Raw genomic sequence first — 18,077 nt, 5'->3', positions numbered from 1 at the left:
TTAAACTACTTTGAAAAGTTTGCATTTCTACCAAAACTGAATATATGTATACTATATGGCCCAGCAGCTTCAGTCCTAGAAATACGCCCAACAGAGATGCTTCCACAAGTCACAAGACACAGCTATGAGGATGTTATGTCATGATGCACCATAGCCCCAAGTTAGAAACACCCCAAAGTGGCCATCAACAGGAGACCAGGTAAAGGAATTGCCACATGTTCCCAGAGCAGATACTATACAATGGTGGATATTGGTAGCCTTCAGCTGCACACATCAACATGGATGAATCTCACAAATGTAATGTTGAGCAGAAGCCAGATGCAAGTGAGTACATCAGTGTAATTTCATGTGAAAAATGCAGGCAGCGTGCAACTGTGCTTAGCAATGCATGCTTAGGTGGCAAAATTATAAAGTGAAGGAGGCGATCACCTCAAGGGGCAGGACGTCAGTGACCCTTCTGGGAAGAGGGCTGTTGATGGGATGGGCTGGAGGGAAGTTCTGGGGAGTCAGGACTTGGGGGCTGGTCATGTGGGGTTTGCTTTTTGATAGTGCATTGGACTGTTTAGGTTTGTGGCACATTGTTATATGTGCCACACTTGACAGTAAAAAATGATTTTGAAAAAATAAAAGTGTTTCAAGCATGTCTGTCAGCTCCCAGAAAACCCACCCCATGTATGCTGTGCCCATGCACGCATGCATGAACTCATGAGCTCTGAGTGTACATACTCACATGTGCAGTGGCAGGCACACATGCATCTCTGTGTGCAAATTCCTGTGAGCTGGAAGTGTACACACTTATATGTGCTATGCCATGCACATGTATCCGAGTGTGTGTACTCATGTGAGCTGTGTTTGCACACTCACACGTGCTGTGCCATGCATACAAGCATCTGAGTGTGCACACACATGAGCTGTGAGTTCACATACTCATGTGTGCTGTGGACATCCTTCTGACGTTTGCCTGGCCTGGGTTTGAAGGGCCGGGCTTGCTGGTCTGGGAGGATTTGCAGAGAAACCTAACAATCCAATGCACTATCACAAAGCAAACCCCAGGTGACCAGCACCCAAGTCTTGACTCCCCAGAACCTCCCTTCAGCCCATCCCATCAGCAGCCCTCTCCCCAAAGATCACTGACGTCCTGCCTCTTGAGGTGATCGCCTCCTTCCCTGGCATTTTTGGGCAGACACAGGTCAAGAAGGTGATCTGAGCTCAGGTGTCAGGGCCTGTCCCCTGCAAAGTGTGAACAGTAGTCAAAGGAGAACAGTGGGTTAGGGAGTGTTTTGCAGATGGCCGACCTCCGAACTCTCCTCCGGACCCCAGAAGGCAAAAGGGAGCTCTTTGGGGACAGGAAGGTGAGTGCGGATTGTGGCCACTGTGTGAGGTGATGATAAAACATCACAGGAGAGGACTTGGGCAGCTCAAGGAGAGGGCAGCTCTCAGTTGGTGAGAGGTGAGATAAGGTCTCCTCTCCTCTAAGGAGCCATGGAGGGTGGCCCCAGAGCCCAGGGAGGAGGGGTCCCTTCTTCTGAAGTGAGAGGAGGGAGTGGGACAGCGGCAGGAACTGGCGAGGTGAGGAGAGGGGATTTCCCCTTGGAGGCTCTCCTGCCTGGGGTGTCCCTGGAGCCTAGAGAGGTCCTGGGAGAGGGGCTCAGTGATGGCTGCGTGGGTGCAGGGCTCAGTGATGGCTGCGTGGGTGCAGGGCTCAGTGATGGCTGCGTGGGTGCAGGGATCAGTGATGGCTGCATGGGTGCAGGGCAGCACGTGGGCTTCTCCTTTGGAGGGGATATCTGCAGAGTGAAGATTGCTCCTCCACTTTCAGAGAGGATCCTGAGGCTCAGAGGATCAGTAGCTATGAGGAGAGTGGGGCCATTTTCCTCCCACCCCCACCTCTTGACCCTGCATCTTCCCATCCCTGACATCCTGGCCTTCCTGGATATTGGATTTTGGGGTTTGCTTGGAGTGACATGGCAACATAGGCCCCAGAGTTACAGAGCTGAGATGAACTTTCAAGCCCACGAGTCCCATTCAAACTAAGACCCATTCACTGAGCACCTGCTCTGCCCCGGCACTGGGGTTGGCTCTGGGGACATGGCTGTGGTTTAAGCAAAGTTCCTGAGCTCCTGGAGCCAATGTTTCTAGCGGGTGGGGAAGCAAGGAGCAGTCAACATCCAGAGGAACAAGGAAATAAGCCAGAAACCAGAGACCATGAGGGCTCTAAAGGGTCCCCAGGCCCTCGGCGTGGGCAGGGTGGGGCTTCCCGGCGGGAGTGAAGTTGGAGGCCAGCTTGAAGAGTGGATGTGGTTCCTGCGGCTGCTGTTAACAAATGACCATGAACCTCACCGACTAAGACAGCACACGCTCCTTCTCTCACAGTCCTAGAAGCCAGAGTCTACAATCAGTTTGTCTGGGCTAAAGTCAAGGAGTCAGTGGGGTGGCTCCTTCTGTGGGCTCTGAAGGGACTATTTCCTGTCTTTCCTTGCCTTTCCAGCTTCTGGAAGTCCTCTGCATTCTCAGCCACTCCCCACAGAGCCCCCACCTGTCACTCCATCATCCCACTTTCTAACTTCTGCTGAACCTTTCTGTGTCCCTCTTATAAGTACCCTTGTGTCACATCAGGCCCACCCTACAATCAGGATCATGTCCCCACTTTAGAGTCTGCCTTGATCACATGTGCTAAGTCCCTTTTGCCATATAAGACATTCCAGGGCTCCGAGGATCATGACATGGATGCCTTTGGGGGCCATTCTTCGGCCCATGATAGAGGGAATGGTCAGTAGGAATGAAGCAGGTGTGGGTGACAGCCCCGGGCACTCCCCTTCTCCTTCAACTCTGACCCATTCTGAAATTTCCAACTGTGCTCATCCATTCTGAACCCACTCACCCCAGAGGGAGCAGGCAGGGACTCTGGAAGGAAGATGTGTGACCCACGGGTGAGCAGTGGGAGGCAGGGTCTGCCCTCCTGGAGGCACTGGCTGGGCCCCGCGTCAGGGCAGTGGAGGTCTGTCCTGCAGCAGTTGCACCACGGCTGCCTGAAGGGACAGACGGGAGCCTGATGCTGGTCACCTGGAGCCCAGCCACTGGCTCACATGTGACCTGGAACAGGTCCTCGCCCTCTCCAGGCCTCAGTTTCTGTCTCTGTCACATGGGGTGTTGGGACATGGGGACCTGTGCCTGTGAGATTCCAGGTGCTCACTGAGGACCCAGCCTGGGGCAGGGTGCTCCTCCTGGTGGGCGCTGGCCTTGTGAGCACCCTGTTTACATCTTCACGGGACACGCGGAGGGGTGGGTGGCGGCCCAGCAGCTGGGGCTGCACAGGAGCCAGAGGGTTGCACAATGGCGGGGCAGCAGCCGGCAGCCTCTGCAAAGGTTGTTTTTTTACGGAGTGCAGCTGGAAGGGCAGCCAGGGAGGCGGCTCTGCCCGGAGGGAACAGTCAGGTCTCGGGGGCTGAGAGGACAGAGGTCTCAACCTCCCACTACGACAGGGCCAGCCGGGGTGGGCGAGAGTGTGACCCTGAGGGAGGGCTGTCTGAGTGCCACTGTCCCTCTTCCTCTGGAGGTGGCAGCCACAGGCCTCCTGAATGCAGAAGCCCAGAGCTGGAGACCCCCACAGAGGTCAGTTCAAGGGTGTCAGAACTGGGACCACAGCCCAGGCCCGCTCACTCCCAAGCTCAGAGACCCCCGTCCCACCTCCCTGCTGCACAGATGGGCATCCGGAGGCCATGGTCATTTGGGGCCAGGGGCAGGGAGAAGGAGGGTGGTGGGAGGCAACATCTCGGGGGCACATTCTGTCCTGGAGTGTGAGTAGGATCCTCCTCATGCTGTTTAATTCAGTGCTCACGCAGCCAGTTTATCTCCTTCAATGGAACCCAAACTGTTAAGAAAACAACATTATCGGCCAGGCACATTGGCTCACACCTGTAATTCCAGCACTTTGGGAGGCCAAGGCAGGCGCATCACAAGGTCAGCTGGCAATACGGTAAAACCCCGTCCCTACTAAAAATACAAAAATTAGCTGGGCGTGGTGGCAGGCACCTGTAGTCCCAGCTACTTGGGAGGCTGAGGCAGGAGAATTGCTTGAACCCAGGAGGTGGAGGTTGTGGTGAGCAGAGGTGACACCACTGGGCGACAGAGTGAAACTCCATCTCAAAAAAAAAAAGAAAAAGGAAAACAACATTATCTCCATTTGACAGGTGGAGGAACCGAGGCTCAGAGGCTCATCTGAGCTCAGCCTCCTGATGAGGAGCTCCGCTGTGCTCGTCAGGCCCCTGCAAGGGATCTTGGGACTCCGAAGCCAGGCTGCAAGGTGAGCGCGACCCAGACAGAGCCAGGAGAGCACAGCCCATCTGTGAGTGAGCAGGTGGGTTTGTGATCCGCTCTCCCCTGAGGCAGAGCATGGCCCATCTGTGAGTGAGTGGGTGGGTTTGGGATTTGTGATCCGCTCTCCCCTGAGGCATTTGCAGGGCAGACACAGGGGGTTGAGAAGGTGGTCTGAGCTGGGGTGTCAAGACTTGTCCCCCGCAAGGTGGGAATAGCCATCAAGGGAGAAGTGGCTTCATGTGGTGGACACCGATGCAGGGACAGTGTGAATGGGCAGAATCTCCAGACCCGGTTCCCCCAGAACCTACAGGACCCCAGAAATCACCACAGTTACCGCTGACCCTCCAGATTTGGGAGAGCTGTGGGAATGGGGGTCGTGGTTTCCCTGGTGGCCCTCAACCCTCCCCCAAGTGCTCGCCTCTCCAATAATTGGTAAGGTCAGAGCTCTCCATGCCCTCTTCCCGACCTCAGCCCCCCAACACCCAATAGGCTCCTCTCAGCCAGGGCCCAAAGACTGAGGGGCAACAGCCTACTCTCTGGGGCCAGGGTGTGTGTGGAGAGCCCAGGCCGCAGGCGGGAGTGAGAGCAGGGCCTGGAAGGTGGACATGGCTGCCTAAGCCTGGCAGGTGGATGGAAGCCTAGATGGGCCCAGAGTGGCTGGGGGCCTGGCAGGGGTGGCCCACTCTGGGTGGAGCAGAGGGTTGGGGGCAAGTTCACGGTTCCCAGTGCTGCGCTTCCAGCTACTCTGGGCAGTGTCCCTGGACCTCCTGCTCATTGAAATTGCTCTCTGCCTCAGTTTCCCCATCGCTGGATGGGTGGCAGGGAGGGTGAAATAGATGTGAGAAAGGGTTCTTCATGTGACCAGACGTGCACAGTGGGGCTTAGTGGGAGCTCCCCGTAAGCCGGGTGGCTTCCCAAGTGCTGCATCTGTCACCTTGCATCCCAGGGCATCCAGGAGGTCAGCACAGCAGAGCCAGCCTTCCTGCTGGACAGAGGCAGAGGCCAAGGTAGGGAGGGGAACATCTCTTGCCCAAGACCACGAAGCCGGAAGTAAGCGGAGGAGCCAGGACTTGAGCCGGGCTGCCTGACTCGGAGCTGGCCCTCCACAGCGCCACATGACCCCGAGACCTGGTGTGCCCCAGTGCTCAGCTGTCATAGAAACCCTTTAAAGGCCCGTGTCTTTGCAGGTATGCCCAGTCATGTGTTAGATGGGTCCCCAGGAAGAACCCTGGCCAGTGGTGGGTAGGCTGCCCCAGTGCCCTGCTGGCTGAGAACCGTGTGCTTGTAAACTTTATTTTCCATACAGTAGAGAAACATACAGTACAAGCAACACTGGGAATCCATTTACAGCAAAGCTCACAAATGCCCCTTGAGACACACTCGTTCCCTGGATGAGGGGGTGGTGCCCAGCAGCCTGCATGCCTCTGGGCGGCACTTCCATGCGAGCGGCTGCTGCATCCCAGAGCTGCGTGGGAAGGGGAAGCCGGCTCAGTCCTCACACCCCGCAGCTCCACGTCCACTGTCCTCTGCAGGCTGCCCCATGGCCGCCTTGGGGAGGAGAAGCTTCCCCAGGCAGCAGCCAACTTTCCACGTGCTCCCCGCGGCCTCCTGCCTGCCTGGGGAGGAAAACCTCATGGCAGGGCGGGGCTCAGCTCCGCAGCCAGGGGGCATTCACTCAGTGCCTGCTCTGGGCTGGACCCCACCCCCGCACCCCAAAGGGATCAGATGTGACCTGTCCTCCAGGGACCCCAGGCTGGCAGGCAGCAGCCCTGGCCCTACAGCTTGGTAAGTCCTAGGGCAGAGGGAAGCTGGGGCCTCAGGTCAGGTGGGCGTTTGTCAGGGGGGAAGAAGCTTGGCAGCCCAGACCTGCAGTAGGAGGGGCAGGAGCAGGGGATACTGCAGATGGGTGTTCACAGGGGCAGAGGCGGGAAGCTAGGAGAGGAGGGGACCTCCATGGAAGGCAGTTTTGTGAATATCCGGAGAACTTGGAAGTGACTTTCAGGATCATCTGTACAAGGGGATGTTGGGCTTCCCTCCCCGGCACCGGGATGTGGATCCAACACTCCCCAGGCGGAAATTCGGGCCCCTGGCCAAGCCCAGCCTCCGCTCTGCCCCGGACAGCCAGGAGGAGGCTGCCGCCCTGCTGAGGACCGACGGTGGTCCTTCGTCCTGATCTCGGGGGGGCGCTGCCCTCCGTTGTCTGCAGGCTCTGACGCTTGGCGCTGGAGGAATGCGCCCCTCACATGACCACCTCAGGTGCGATGCTGAAGAGGAGGTCGTCGTTCCCCCGCCGCACCTCCAGTAGGAGAGGAGACTCGGTCAGCACGGCCTCCTGCAGCTCACTCGAGTCCACTAGAGGACGCCCGTTGACCTTGACGATGATGTCACCATCTTGGATGCCGCCTCTGCCAACAGGAGAGACGGGGTCACCACCCACCGCCTCCCCAGGCACAGCCTTCCCAGGCCCGGCCCAGAGCGAGGCACAGTCAGGGTCAATGACAACATTTCAACAAAAGTCATCTCGATGGGAAAGAACAGTGCCCCAGCCCCAAAGCTCTCACACCAGAAGAAAACCAATGTCACACGACAGGGAAACAACCTTTCAAACTGCTTCTCCCATGCGTCAGAAGGGTGGGTTCAAGCTCCCGCTGCAGCCCTCCTAGCTGGGCCAGGCACTCTGTCCCCTTGTGCCTCAGTTTTCATGTCTACCATCCTATGTGGAAACGCACTTTGCAAATTATAAAGGCCCAGGAGTAGGTTCTGCTGTTACTGCAGTTACGAAGACGTCTATGTGGGAGGCAGAGCTCACGGGGCCAGCCTTCTCTCTGCATGAGGCTCACTGAGACCTCCCCACTGCTGGGAAGGAAGGTGATGGTACTGTGCTCAGCTGCGTGGGCACCAGCATCAGGACCCTCACATGCCAGCTGTGTGACCTGGAAGAGTAACTTCTCTAAACCTCAGTCCCTCCACCTGTAAAATGGGTGAGGGCAGGAGCCTGCACCTCCCTGGCTGCAGTGAGGATTAACTGAGATGTGTGTGGAAAATTTCACCCAATTTCAACAATTTTTACTGCAGGCCTGCTGCGGGCAGGACAAGTGTGCCATCTGTGCTCATCACAGAAGTTCACGCGGGGCCTCCCACCTTCAAGCCCAGCCTCTGAGGATGCACAGTACAGTCGGCCCTTGAACAACATGGGTCTGAACTGTGTGGGTCCACTTATATGTGGATTTTTCCCACTGCAGATGAAGACCGAGGCTAAGGAGGGGAGGCAACTGGTTCAGAGCCCTTCTTGGGAGTGGGTCAGCCATGCCAGCATGTGGTAGTGTCGCTGCACGCCTGCCTCAGCCTATGGTGTTGCAATGCTTAACATTTCTCTAGTACTGGAAGACTTCAAAGAAAGCAATCCTTTATCCATTTCATCTACAAAGTCTCCTGGGGGTAGAAATCCCAGCACTTTGGGAGGCCAAGGCAGGTGGATCGCCTGAGGTCAGCAGTTCAAGACTAGCCTGGCCAACGTGGTGAAACCCCTTCTCTACTAAAAATACAAAAACAATTAGCAGGGCATGGTGGTGGGCACTTGTAATCTGAGCTACTCAGAAGGCTGAGGCAGGAGAGTCGCTTGAGCCCAGGAGGCAGAGGTTGCAGTGAGCTGAGATCGCGACACTGCACTCCAGGCTGGGCAACAAGAGGGAGACTGTCTCAAAAAAAAAAAAAAAAAAAAAAAAAAAAAAACAATAGGCTGAATTATCTCCACTTTACAATGAGGAAGCTGAGTCCCAGAAAGACCCAGGACCCAGGCTGGTCCCCAGCTAGTGAAAGAGTCTGGCTTGGAGTGGGTTCTTAGCCCAACAGGGACTCTTCAGCCTCTGCTTCTCGAAGGAAATGACATTGTGGGACTTAGGACGTACACAGTCAGGGCTCTAGGGACCATTCAGCTCTCCAGCCTCCTCTGGCTTAGCAGACACGCTAGAATCCACCTGCCCCTTCCCGGTCACTTTGCTGGGAAGCTCAAGGTCACATGAGGTCAGTGGGGCAGCCCCAGCCCAGACCTCACGCCTGCCCCATGCCTCGAGCGATCTCCTCTGGCAGAGCCTACCTCTGAGAAGGTGAATTCGGCGCAACCTCTTGCACATAAATTCCACTGCTGACCTCTGGGAAGTCCGGGTTGCTGGCCTTCAGCTCATCCACCAGGCTGGAAAGAGTCTGCCGTCAAGGCCCCTCCCCTGAGCCTTTGCCCAGCTCTTTGGTATGAAGCTGCCCCTCCCTCCCTCCAGCACCAGACCAGAAGAGGAGCCACCTCTGGGCCCCCATACTGCCCTGTCCCACCACTGGCCACTCTGTGTCCCCTACCAGATGTGCTTCTTAAGAGAAACGTGGTAGCAATAGCTGGTTAGAAGCGTGAAGAGAGGAGAGAGAGTGGGTAGACAGGTGGGAGGAGGGGCGGGAGGATGGATGGATGGATGGATGGATGGATGAATGAAGGAATGATGCTGGATGGGTGGATAGAAGGAGAAATGGACAGACAGGCAATGCTGAGTCATGGAATGGACAGACAATGCTGAGTCACGGAACGTACAGACAATGCTGAGTCACGGAACGGACAGACAATGCTGAGTCATGGAATGAACAGACAATGCTGAGTCATGGAACAGACAGACAGAAGACTGGACAGAGGTGGGATGGACAGACAGATAAAAGAGACAGAAAACAAAAGATAAATTGGCATACTGGACATTGATAATTTTTTTCAAATGTCACCCCTAGATTAGCAGAGTTGGTGAAACAGGAGGAATGACAGCTTTAGGGACTGTGTGCTTTGAGGAAATGGTCACTTGAGCATTCTCGAGTTCTTCCTAGGCTCCCGATGCAGTGACCTCTCCCTTCTTCAAACCTCGAAGCTCAAGTTTGTACTTCCAGCCTCCCTTCTATCCTGCCCCTGCTTCCTCTCCCCCAGCCCCTTCTTTCTTGCACTCATTCAGCATTTCCAGGCACCTGCTCTGCAGTGGACCTGCTTTTGGGGCAGAGTGGAGGAATAAGTAGGTCACAGTCCTTGCTCCCAAGGAGCTGACAGCCGAGGAGGCAGGATGGGGTGGGGCGGTCCCACCACAGGTGATTCCGACACAGCAGGATGAGTTCAAGGCTGGAGAGGGAGGCCAGGGCTCTGTGTGCTATGAGGAGGCACCTTCTGCCACTTGAGTGTCCTGGGAATGCAGAATGGTGTTCCCCCAAATTCGTGTACACCCAGAGCCTCAGAATGTGACCTTGTTTGGAAATAGGACCTTTATAGATGTCATTAGTTGAAGATCTTGAGAAGAGACCTTCTTGGTTTAGAGTGGGCCCTAACTCCAATGATGGATGTTTTCATAAGAGAAACGAGAGAGAGATGTGCACACAGATACTCAGAGAGAAAGAAGGTCAAGTGAAGACAGAGGTAGAGACTGCAGGGAGGCAGCCACAAGCCAAGGATGCCTGGAGCCAGCAGAAGCTGGAAGGGGCAAGGAAGTAGCTTTCCCTGGAGCCTCAGAGGCAGAGTGCAGCCCTGCCGACCCCTTGACTTCAGATCCCCGACCTCCAGAACTGAGAGGGAACACATTTCTGCTGTTTTAAGCCACCAGGCTTATAGTAATTTGTTATAGCAGCCATGGAAAGAGATAGCGTCCTGAAAGAGCAGAAGGAATCTATAAGGCAAAGAGGGAAAGGTCCACGCAAAAGGACTGGCCTGAGCAACGGTCAGAGGCCTGAGTGCATCGGCCCGTCTGGGCACCTGCAAGGAGCCGAACACAGCCAGCCAGGGTCTGGAGGGAGGGTCAGGGTGAGGGATGAGAGGAAGGGGTAGCAGGGGATGGCACTCTTCAGACACTCACCTTGGTGTGATCGTCCGCATCCGTATGCCGATGAAGCGCTTCTTCCAGTCTGGAAATGAAACACGGCGAGACTCCGTTAGGGCTGCTGTGAAAAGCCACCACGCTCCCTCAGGGGACAGGCAGAGGACAGAAGTTCCCCTGCAGGACCAGGAAGCAGCAGGTGTCATTCTGCTTGAGCTGGCCCAGTCCCCCTGCGGTCCAGCAAAGCTGCCCTCTCCTGACCATCATCATGGAGCTGAGGGGTATTCTAGCTCTAGTGTGGCTCGCCCCACAGGTGGCTTCATGTCCACCGCATCCTGCATCCAACCATGTGAGCTCCGACATCTGCTCTCCCAGCTGAGCTCCAACCCAACCCCAGTGGCCAGTGGGGCTGTCCTTTCTGGCTTCCATACTGCTGCTTCCCCAAATGTTCCCTGCTTGGAACTGAACTCATCACCTCCCACTGGTCTTCCTCAAAACGATACTCGCTGCTAATGTCCAGTGAGTACTAACCATGTGCCAGGCCCTGTGGCTGGGGCACTGCACACGCAACTCACTGAGATAGTGTCTCCATCCCCCAAGCTGCTCCAATCTGTGAGTTAGCAGGTGTCTCAGATCCAGAAATAAACAAGAGTCAATAAATTTAGAATTTTCATTTTATATAAGAGTTCTGACCACAATTAGAAATCAATAATAGGTATCCAGAAAATTCCCAAATTCTTGGAAATTAATAATACATTCTAAATTACTCATCTTCAAATAAGTAAAAAGAGAAATTAGAAATTATGTTCAGCTGAATAAAAATGAATGTATAATATATTAAAATTTGTAGGTTGTAGAGGTAGAGGGAAATTAATAGTACTAAAGTGTCTATATTAGAAAATAAGAAAAGTCTCAAATCAATAACCTCAGTTTCCGTCTTAAAAACTATAAAAAGACCAAATAAAACCTAGAATAACCAGAAGAAAAAAAATAATTAAAAGTCTGAATCAATAATAAAGTTGAGTGTGAATTAATAATAAAGCTGAGAGTGTGAATCAATAAAGCTGAGAGTGTGACTCAATAATAAAGCTGAGAGTGTGACTCAATAAAGCTGAGTGTGAGTCAATAATAAAGCTGATAGTGTGAATCAATAATAAACCTGATAGTGAAAATCAATAATAAAGCTGAGTGTGAATCAATAATAAAGCTGAGAGTGTGACTCAATAATAAAGATGAGTGTGAATCAATAATAAAGATGAGTGTGACTCAATAATAAAGATGAGTGTGAATCAATAAAGCTGAGTGTGAATCAATAATAAAGATGTCTGTGAATCAATAATAAAGCTGAGAGTGTGAATCAATAAAGATGAGTGTGAATAATAAAGTGTGAGTCAATAAAGAGTGTGAATCTAATAAGAGTGTGACTCAATAAAGCTGAGAGTGTGAATCAATAATAAAGATGGGTGTGAATCAATAATAAAGAGTGTGAATCGATAATAAAGCTGAGAGTGTGAATCAATAATAAAGATGAGTGTGAATCAATAAAGATGAGTGTGAATCAATAATAAAGATGAGTGTGACTCAATAATAAAGCTGAGTGTGAATCAATAATAAAGATGACTGGATCAATAATAAAGCTGAGAGTGTGAATCAATAATAAAGATGAGTGTGAATCAATAAAGGTAAGAGTGTGAGTCAGTAATAAAGTGTGAATCTAATAAGAGTGTGAATCAATAATAAAGCTGAGAGTGTGAATCAATAATAAAGATGAGTGTGAATCCATAATAAAGATGAGTGTGAATCAATGAAGAGTGTAAATCAATGAAATAAAGATAAGAATGTAAATCAAAGAAACACAATAGTGAAAATAAAAAATAAAGCTGATTCTTTAAGATCAATAAAACTGATAAATCTTTAGCAAGATCGATCATGACAAAAAGACACAGTTATCAACATCACAAATTACAGAGGTGACATCACTACAGATTCTACAGATATTAAAAGAATAATAAGAGAATATTGTGAACAACTTGATGTCAATGAATTTAATCACTTAGACAAAAGAAGCAAATTTCTTGAAATTTCCAAACCACCAAATCTCATTCAAGAAGAAATAACGCAAATAGCACTACATCTATTAAAGAAATTGAATTTGGAGTTAAAAATCTTCCTACAAAAAAAAACTTCAAGCCTAAAAGATCTCACTGGAGAATTCCACCAGATGTTTAAGGAAGAAATAGTACTAATTCTATACAAACTCCTCCAGAAAACTGAAAATGAGTGGCTACTTCTAACCTCCTTATCTGAATACAAAAACCAGAAGAGAAAACTAGACCAATATCCCTCATGAAAACAGATACAAAAATTCTTTAAACAAATCAAATCCATAAATACATTTAAAAGGATAATACAGCCGGGCATAGTGGCTCATGCCTGTAATCCCAGCACTCTGGGAGGCCAAGGCAGGTGGATCACCTGAAGTCAGGAGTCTGAGACCAGCCTGGCCAACATGGTGAAACCCCATCTCTACTAAAAATACAAAAATTAGCTGGGCATGATCGTGGGCACCTATAATCCCAGCTACGTGGGAGGCTGAGGCAGAAGAATCACTTGAGCCTGGGAGGTAGAGGTTGCAGGGAGCCAAGATCACACCACCGTACTCCAGCCTGGGCGACAGAGTGAGACTCCATCTCAAAAAAAAAAAAAAAAGGATAATACATCACAAATAAGTGATAAGTGAGGTTCATCCCAGGAATGCAAAGTTGGTTTAACATTTAAAAATCAACCAATGCAATTTACCACATTAACAGACTAGAAAGGAACACCATATGATCATCTCCAGAGATGCACAAAAAGCCTCTGACAAAAAGTAACATCTATTCCCAATAAAAACCAGAAATAGAAGGGAACTTTTCAACCTGAGAAAGGATATCTATGCAAATTTGTAGCTAGCACCGTACTTAATGGTGAAAGACTGAATGTTTTCTCCCCAAGATCACGAACGGGACAAGGATGTCCACTCTTACCCCTTTCATTCAATATTTTACTGGAAGTTCTAGCCAGGCAAGAAAAAAAAAAGGCATTCAGATTGGAAAGGAAGAAGTAAAACTGTCTTTATTCACAGACTGCATAGCCATCTATGTAGGAAATCTGATGGAATCTACAAAAAAAGTTTCTAGAAGCAGTAAGTGAGTTATCAAGCTTACAGGATATCTTATGGTGAACATCCAAAAATCATTTTAATTTGAATATTCTCTTAACCAACCAGCAGAAACTGAAATTTAAAAGAATACATCATTTATAATAGCATCAAAATTAAGAAATACTTATGAATAAATCTGATGAAAAATGCCCAAAAACCAGTACACCGAAAACTATAAAACATTGCAGAGAGAAGTTAAAGAAGATATAAATAAATGGAGAGGTAGTCTGTATTCATGGATCAGAAGAGTTACCATTGTTAAAATGCCAAATTTCCCCAAATTGATCTGTAAATTCAATGGAATCCCAATCAGATCATCAGCAGGCTTTATTTTTCTTTTTGTAGAAATTGACAAGCTTATTCTGAAATTCATATAGAAATGCAAAGGGTCTGAGGAGTCCACACAACTTGGAAAAGGAAGAATAAAGTCGGGGGACTCACACTGCCTGCCTTTTAGACCTACCGTGAGGCCACAGTAATCGGGCCAGTGCAGTACTGAATATTGGCCTAAACACAGACAGCTGGAATGGCACATGGTCATTCTCTTTTGGACAACGGTGCGAAGGCACTTCAGTAGAGAACAGTCTTTCAACAAATGGTGCTAGAACAACTGAATTTCCAAGGCAAAAATAACAAAAACGCCCAAACCTCGATCTATACTTTGCACTATTTAAAAATATACTAATTCAAAATGCATCGCAGTCCTAAATCTGAAACCTCAAAAAGTAAAACTTCTAGAAGAAATTGTAGGAGAAAAATCTTTCTGATCTTGGGTTAGCAAAGACGTCTTAGATACAACACCAAACGCATGACAAATTAAAAAAAAAAACAGACTTCATCAAAATTTACAAAACTTCTGCTCTTTAAAAACACTATTCAGAGAATGAAAAAGACAAGCCACAGACTGGGAGAAAATATTTGCAATTTGCTTATCTGATAAAGGGCTCCTATCCAGAATGTAGAAAGAACTCTCACAACCTACTAGTAAGAACACAAATAACCTAAATGTTTTTAATGGGCCAAATATTTAAACACACCAAAGATGAACAGCTGATGAATAAACCATGTGGGAGATGGGGTCAGAGCTGGCCGGGAGGCCTGACCCATGGGTCCAGTGGGCCCTGGAAGGCTTTGGATTTGGCCTTGAATCACCAGACGTGATCTGCCGTTAGTTTTGAAAGGGCCTTTCTGGCTGTGGGAGGGTCTGTGGAGGATGGGGCAGCATCCGGAGGAGCCCAGAGAGGTAACGGTCCAGGGCAGCGAGTGCCCCGGTGCTGGACCCGGAGGTGGAGGTGGAGGCGGAGCGGCGACGAGGCCCGGGGTGGATGCATCCTGAAGCCTGGGCCAATGGACTCGCTGACAGTGGATGAGGCATGTGGGAAGTCCAGAGGGACAGAGGGACAGAGGGACAAGGCTGACATAACTCAGTGGGGACGGCAGGTGGGGCTGCAGGAGCAGGGGGGTCTTGACAGGTGCTCTTAGTGGGAACTGCCTGTGGACATTGGTGGGTCCATCCCACAAGCAGCTGCGCGTCTGAGCCTGGAGCAGGAGGGGCCAGGCTGGAGGCGTAAATCCGGGGGATCACTCTCTAGGTGGCTTCTAAATCCAGGGGGTGGGATCCTCGACAGGACCTGCACAGCCCACCTGGGACATGGGCCCTTCCCACTCCCACTGCCTGGGAGTCCCCTGCAATCTCCAGAGCCTGCCCCACTCCCTTCCCACAGTCTCTGCTGGAGGTGGGTCACCTCCTCAGAGAGGTCTCCTGCCCCGTCATGCAGCCCTCACCCTCGAGGCCACAGCCCTGCCCCAGCCTCCTCCCAGCACCCCTCACTTTGATCTGTGGCATCTGGGGGCGTTTTTGTGGCCCGTCTCCCTGCTAGAAGGAAAGCGGGAGGGCAGGACCTCTGGCTCACAGGAGTCCAAGACACAGAGCCAGCATTTGAACAATGACTGTGGTCCCCTCTGACTTAGACCCACTGTGCGGGCGGGAAAGCAGAGGCCTGGTAATGCCCCTGGGCCAGAGCTGGGGAAAGCACGACTCACTGTGCTCAGGATAGGGGACTCTGAAGCCTCTTCTCCTTGAACTTGAGAGGTGAGCAGAACACACACCAAGTATGGGGCCACCAGCCTCCCTGCCCGTCCTGCTCCTGGCCCTGCTCCTGCCAGGTGGCTGGGCTGCCTTCCCCAGACTTTTCCACTATTGGGAAGGACTCAGGACTCTACCCAGCACAGGGGCCTGAGACCAAGGGACCTTATGGCTTCTGAGACCAGGGAACCTTTTGGCTTCTGAGACCAAGGGACCCTGTGACCTCTGAGGCTGGGGAACCCTGTGAACTCTGAGACCAGGGAAACTTACGGTTTTTGAGACCACAGGACCCTGTGACTTCTGAGACTAAGGAACCCTGTGGCCTCTGAGATCGAGGAATCCTGTGATGTCAGAGATCTGGGAACTCTGTGATGTCTGAGACCAGGGAAAGCACATGTCTTTGTCCCTGTCCCCTCCCCTCCCTACAGCTCTCCCTTGGCTTGTGGGCCACAGGATAAACGAGGGGTTTACCCCCCAGGCCAGAGGTCTCCCACCTATGAACTGCACTGTTCCCCACAGTCCACAGAGGGGCAGATGCCCACAAACGGCCCCACTCCATGAATCAAACACCCCACACCACCCCATGTGGGGCTACTCTCTGGTCCTAAGGCTGGCTGGACCCCAAGCCCTCCTGGGGCTCCCCCAACATGCATGGTGGCCACTCTTTACCCTGAAAGCCCCTCAGAGGCCTCTGCACCCCACCTCCAGACGAGAATAATAAATGCACTTAACATCTCCTTGATTTAATAAAAAGATGGTTCATTTCAAAGAACTTTAGATTAACTGGGTTTGGATCATTGGATTTTATTAAATAAAAAAGAGAAGCAAGTACAAACACCAGTCAACTTCAGAAGGATTTTAAAATTGCAAGTGTGCCATGCAGCTAAGGTTTATCAGGCTCCTCAGTTAGTCTGCACTGTCCTTGGGGAGGGGACACAGCTCTGAGGACAGGGGATATTTCCCAGGGGGTTCTGGGATGAGGTCAGCACTAACTGGGACAGCCCCTGTACAACAAAGGAGCAAACCTAGGCCCCAGGGGGATCCTGTCTCAGGAGAAAGAGAGAGGCAAGAAGGGAAGAGGACACTATCATCCACTTCCAAGGAAAGCCACCTCACAGCTCAGTGTGTGCAAACAGCAGCTCCGCTAATTTCCAGTAAGGAGGCCAAAGTCAAAGGCACCCATGGAGAATGGGATAATTCAACAGGAAAGACTCGGTCATTAGGGAAAGGAGCATGCTAGGACAGGTCTGGGTGCACCCCTGAATCTAGCTCTGAGCTTCCTAGAAGCCAACAGGAAAAGGGCTCAAGAGATTAGATGGTCCCCACTGTTCAAGAGAAGAAGACTTCAGCTTCTTTGGGAAAGACAGGCTCTGCCTGGCTCCAGATTGTCTTCCCATAATGGACACAGAAGAACAATGGCGGCATCCTCAACAGCAGCTCTTCATGTGACCAGCCCTCATGGCACCAGCCTTGGCTGCACTGGGGTCCATGTGCTTGGCTGACGGGGTCATGGAGGAGGGGGAAACGTGAGGAAGCCCCCTGCTCTCAATGAACTGCCAGTGAGGGGGCTGGGAGGAGACAGCAAAGCAATGTGGAAGTGTGAGTTGCTGAGTCAGGCCTGGGCGTTGGCCAGGAGGTGGGCACAGGAGACACAATGGCAGGAGGGAGAAGCTCACTAGGGCTGAAGAGAAGGTGGGGAGGGAGAGGCCCCCAGGAAAGGCCCTGCGATTGGAAGCATGGCCCTGCTCTGGAAGGTGGCTGCGACTGCCCACTTAAGGAGGCAATGGGCATGCTCTCACTTGGGAGAGTTGCCTAGTGCCCTGGCGAGGCCTCTCCCAGATGGGTGCTCATGGCAATCTAGGAGTGGGCAGGGTGGGCTGGGTATCCCTTTTTGATGGGGTGAGGAAATGGGGGCAAGGAAATGGGGGCTTGGAGGAGGGTGACTTCCAAAGACGAGGTATTGGACTCTGCTCCCCTGGCATAGAGGATATTCTACCATGTGATCTCCATGGGCCACAGGCTGGAAGAGGAAGTACTCAGGAGTGGGTAGATGGATGGAAGAATAGACGGACAGGGATAGAGGGACAGGTGGGTAGACGGATGGATGGATGGGTGGATAGGTAGACAGGTGAATGAGTGGGTGGGTGGATGGGTGGAAGGAAGGAGAGAAGGAAAAAAAGAAAGGAAAAAATAAAGGAAGGAAGAAATGGTGGCCAGGTGGGTGAATGGGTGGATAGGTGGGTGGATGAGTGGATGAATGGATGAGTAGATGGATGGATGGATGGGTAAATGGATGGATGATGGATGGACGGATGGATGGGTGGATGAATGGATGATGGATGGAAGAATTGGTGGTTGGAAGGATAAATGAGTGGTTGGGTGGATGGATGGATATAGGATGGATGGATGATGGATAGGTGGATGGATGGATGAATGGATGAATGGCTGGGTGGGTGGGTGGATGGATAGATGGGTGGATGGATGGATGGATAGGTGGATGGGTGGATGGAAAGATGGGTGGGTGGATGGATGGGTAGATGGGTAGAAAGGTGTGGATGGATGGATGGATGGATGGATGGATGGATGGATGGATGGATGGATGGATGGATGGATGGATGGATGGATGGATGGATGGATGGATGGATGG

General features: G+C 51.4%; 1 protein-coding gene across 3 annotated transcripts in view, besides 2 other annotated features; it reads right to left on the bottom strand.

The window, feature by feature from the left end:
* Window positions 1-5,594: 5,594 nt before the first annotated feature.
* HTRA3 (HtrA serine peptidase 3) overlaps window positions 5,595-18,077 on the bottom strand; it is a 37,345-nt gene continuing 24,862 nt past the window's right edge. The window contains exons 7-9 of one of the 3 annotated variants that reach the window (NM_053044.5): window positions 10,182-10,230; window positions 8,414-8,509; window positions 5,595-6,722 (exon numbers count right to left, since the gene is read on the bottom strand). In NM_053044.5, the coding sequence (NP_444272.1) occupies window positions 6,557-6,722; window positions 8,414-8,509; window positions 10,182-10,230 (311 nt within the window). In that variant the 3' untranslated portion in view covers window positions 5,595-6,556. Of the gene's footprint in view, window positions 6,723-8,413; window positions 8,510-10,181; window positions 10,231-16,214; window positions 16,999-18,077 lie in introns of those variants that run through there. The other 2 variants (NM_001297559.3, XM_011513596.4) reach the window with 2 other exon arrangements.
* Window positions 16,516-17,015: an enhancer, noted in NCBI's record as "H3K4me1 hESC enhancer chr4:8297405-8297904 (GRCh37/hg19 assembly coordinates)". NCBI's record gives its function as "activates a minimal SCP1, AML or CMV promoter by ChIP-STARR-seq in naive H9 embryonic stem cells {active_cell/tissue: H9 hESC(naive)}" and the evidence as "EXISTENCE:reporter gene assay evidence [ECO:0000049][PMID:30033119]".
* Window positions 17,221-17,464: a silencer, noted in NCBI's record as "fragment chr4:8296956-8297199 (GRCh37/hg19 assembly coordinates)". NCBI's record gives its function as "represses an EF-1alpha promoter that drives an FKBP-Casp9 reporter gene in an ReSE screen in phorbol 12-myristate 13-acetate-treated (for megakaryocytic differentiation) K562 erythroleukemia cells {active_cell/tissue: K562(+PMA)}" and the evidence as "EXISTENCE:reporter gene assay evidence [ECO:0000049][PMID:32094911]".

The sequence above is a fragment of the Homo sapiens genome, chromosome 4, assembly GCF_000001405.40.
Source record: "Homo sapiens chromosome 4, GRCh38.p14 Primary Assembly".
In the NCBI taxonomy this organism is placed as follows: domain Eukaryota; kingdom Metazoa; phylum Chordata; class Mammalia; order Primates; family Hominidae; genus Homo; species Homo sapiens.
This window is presented reverse-complemented; position numbering and strand designations above follow the sequence as displayed.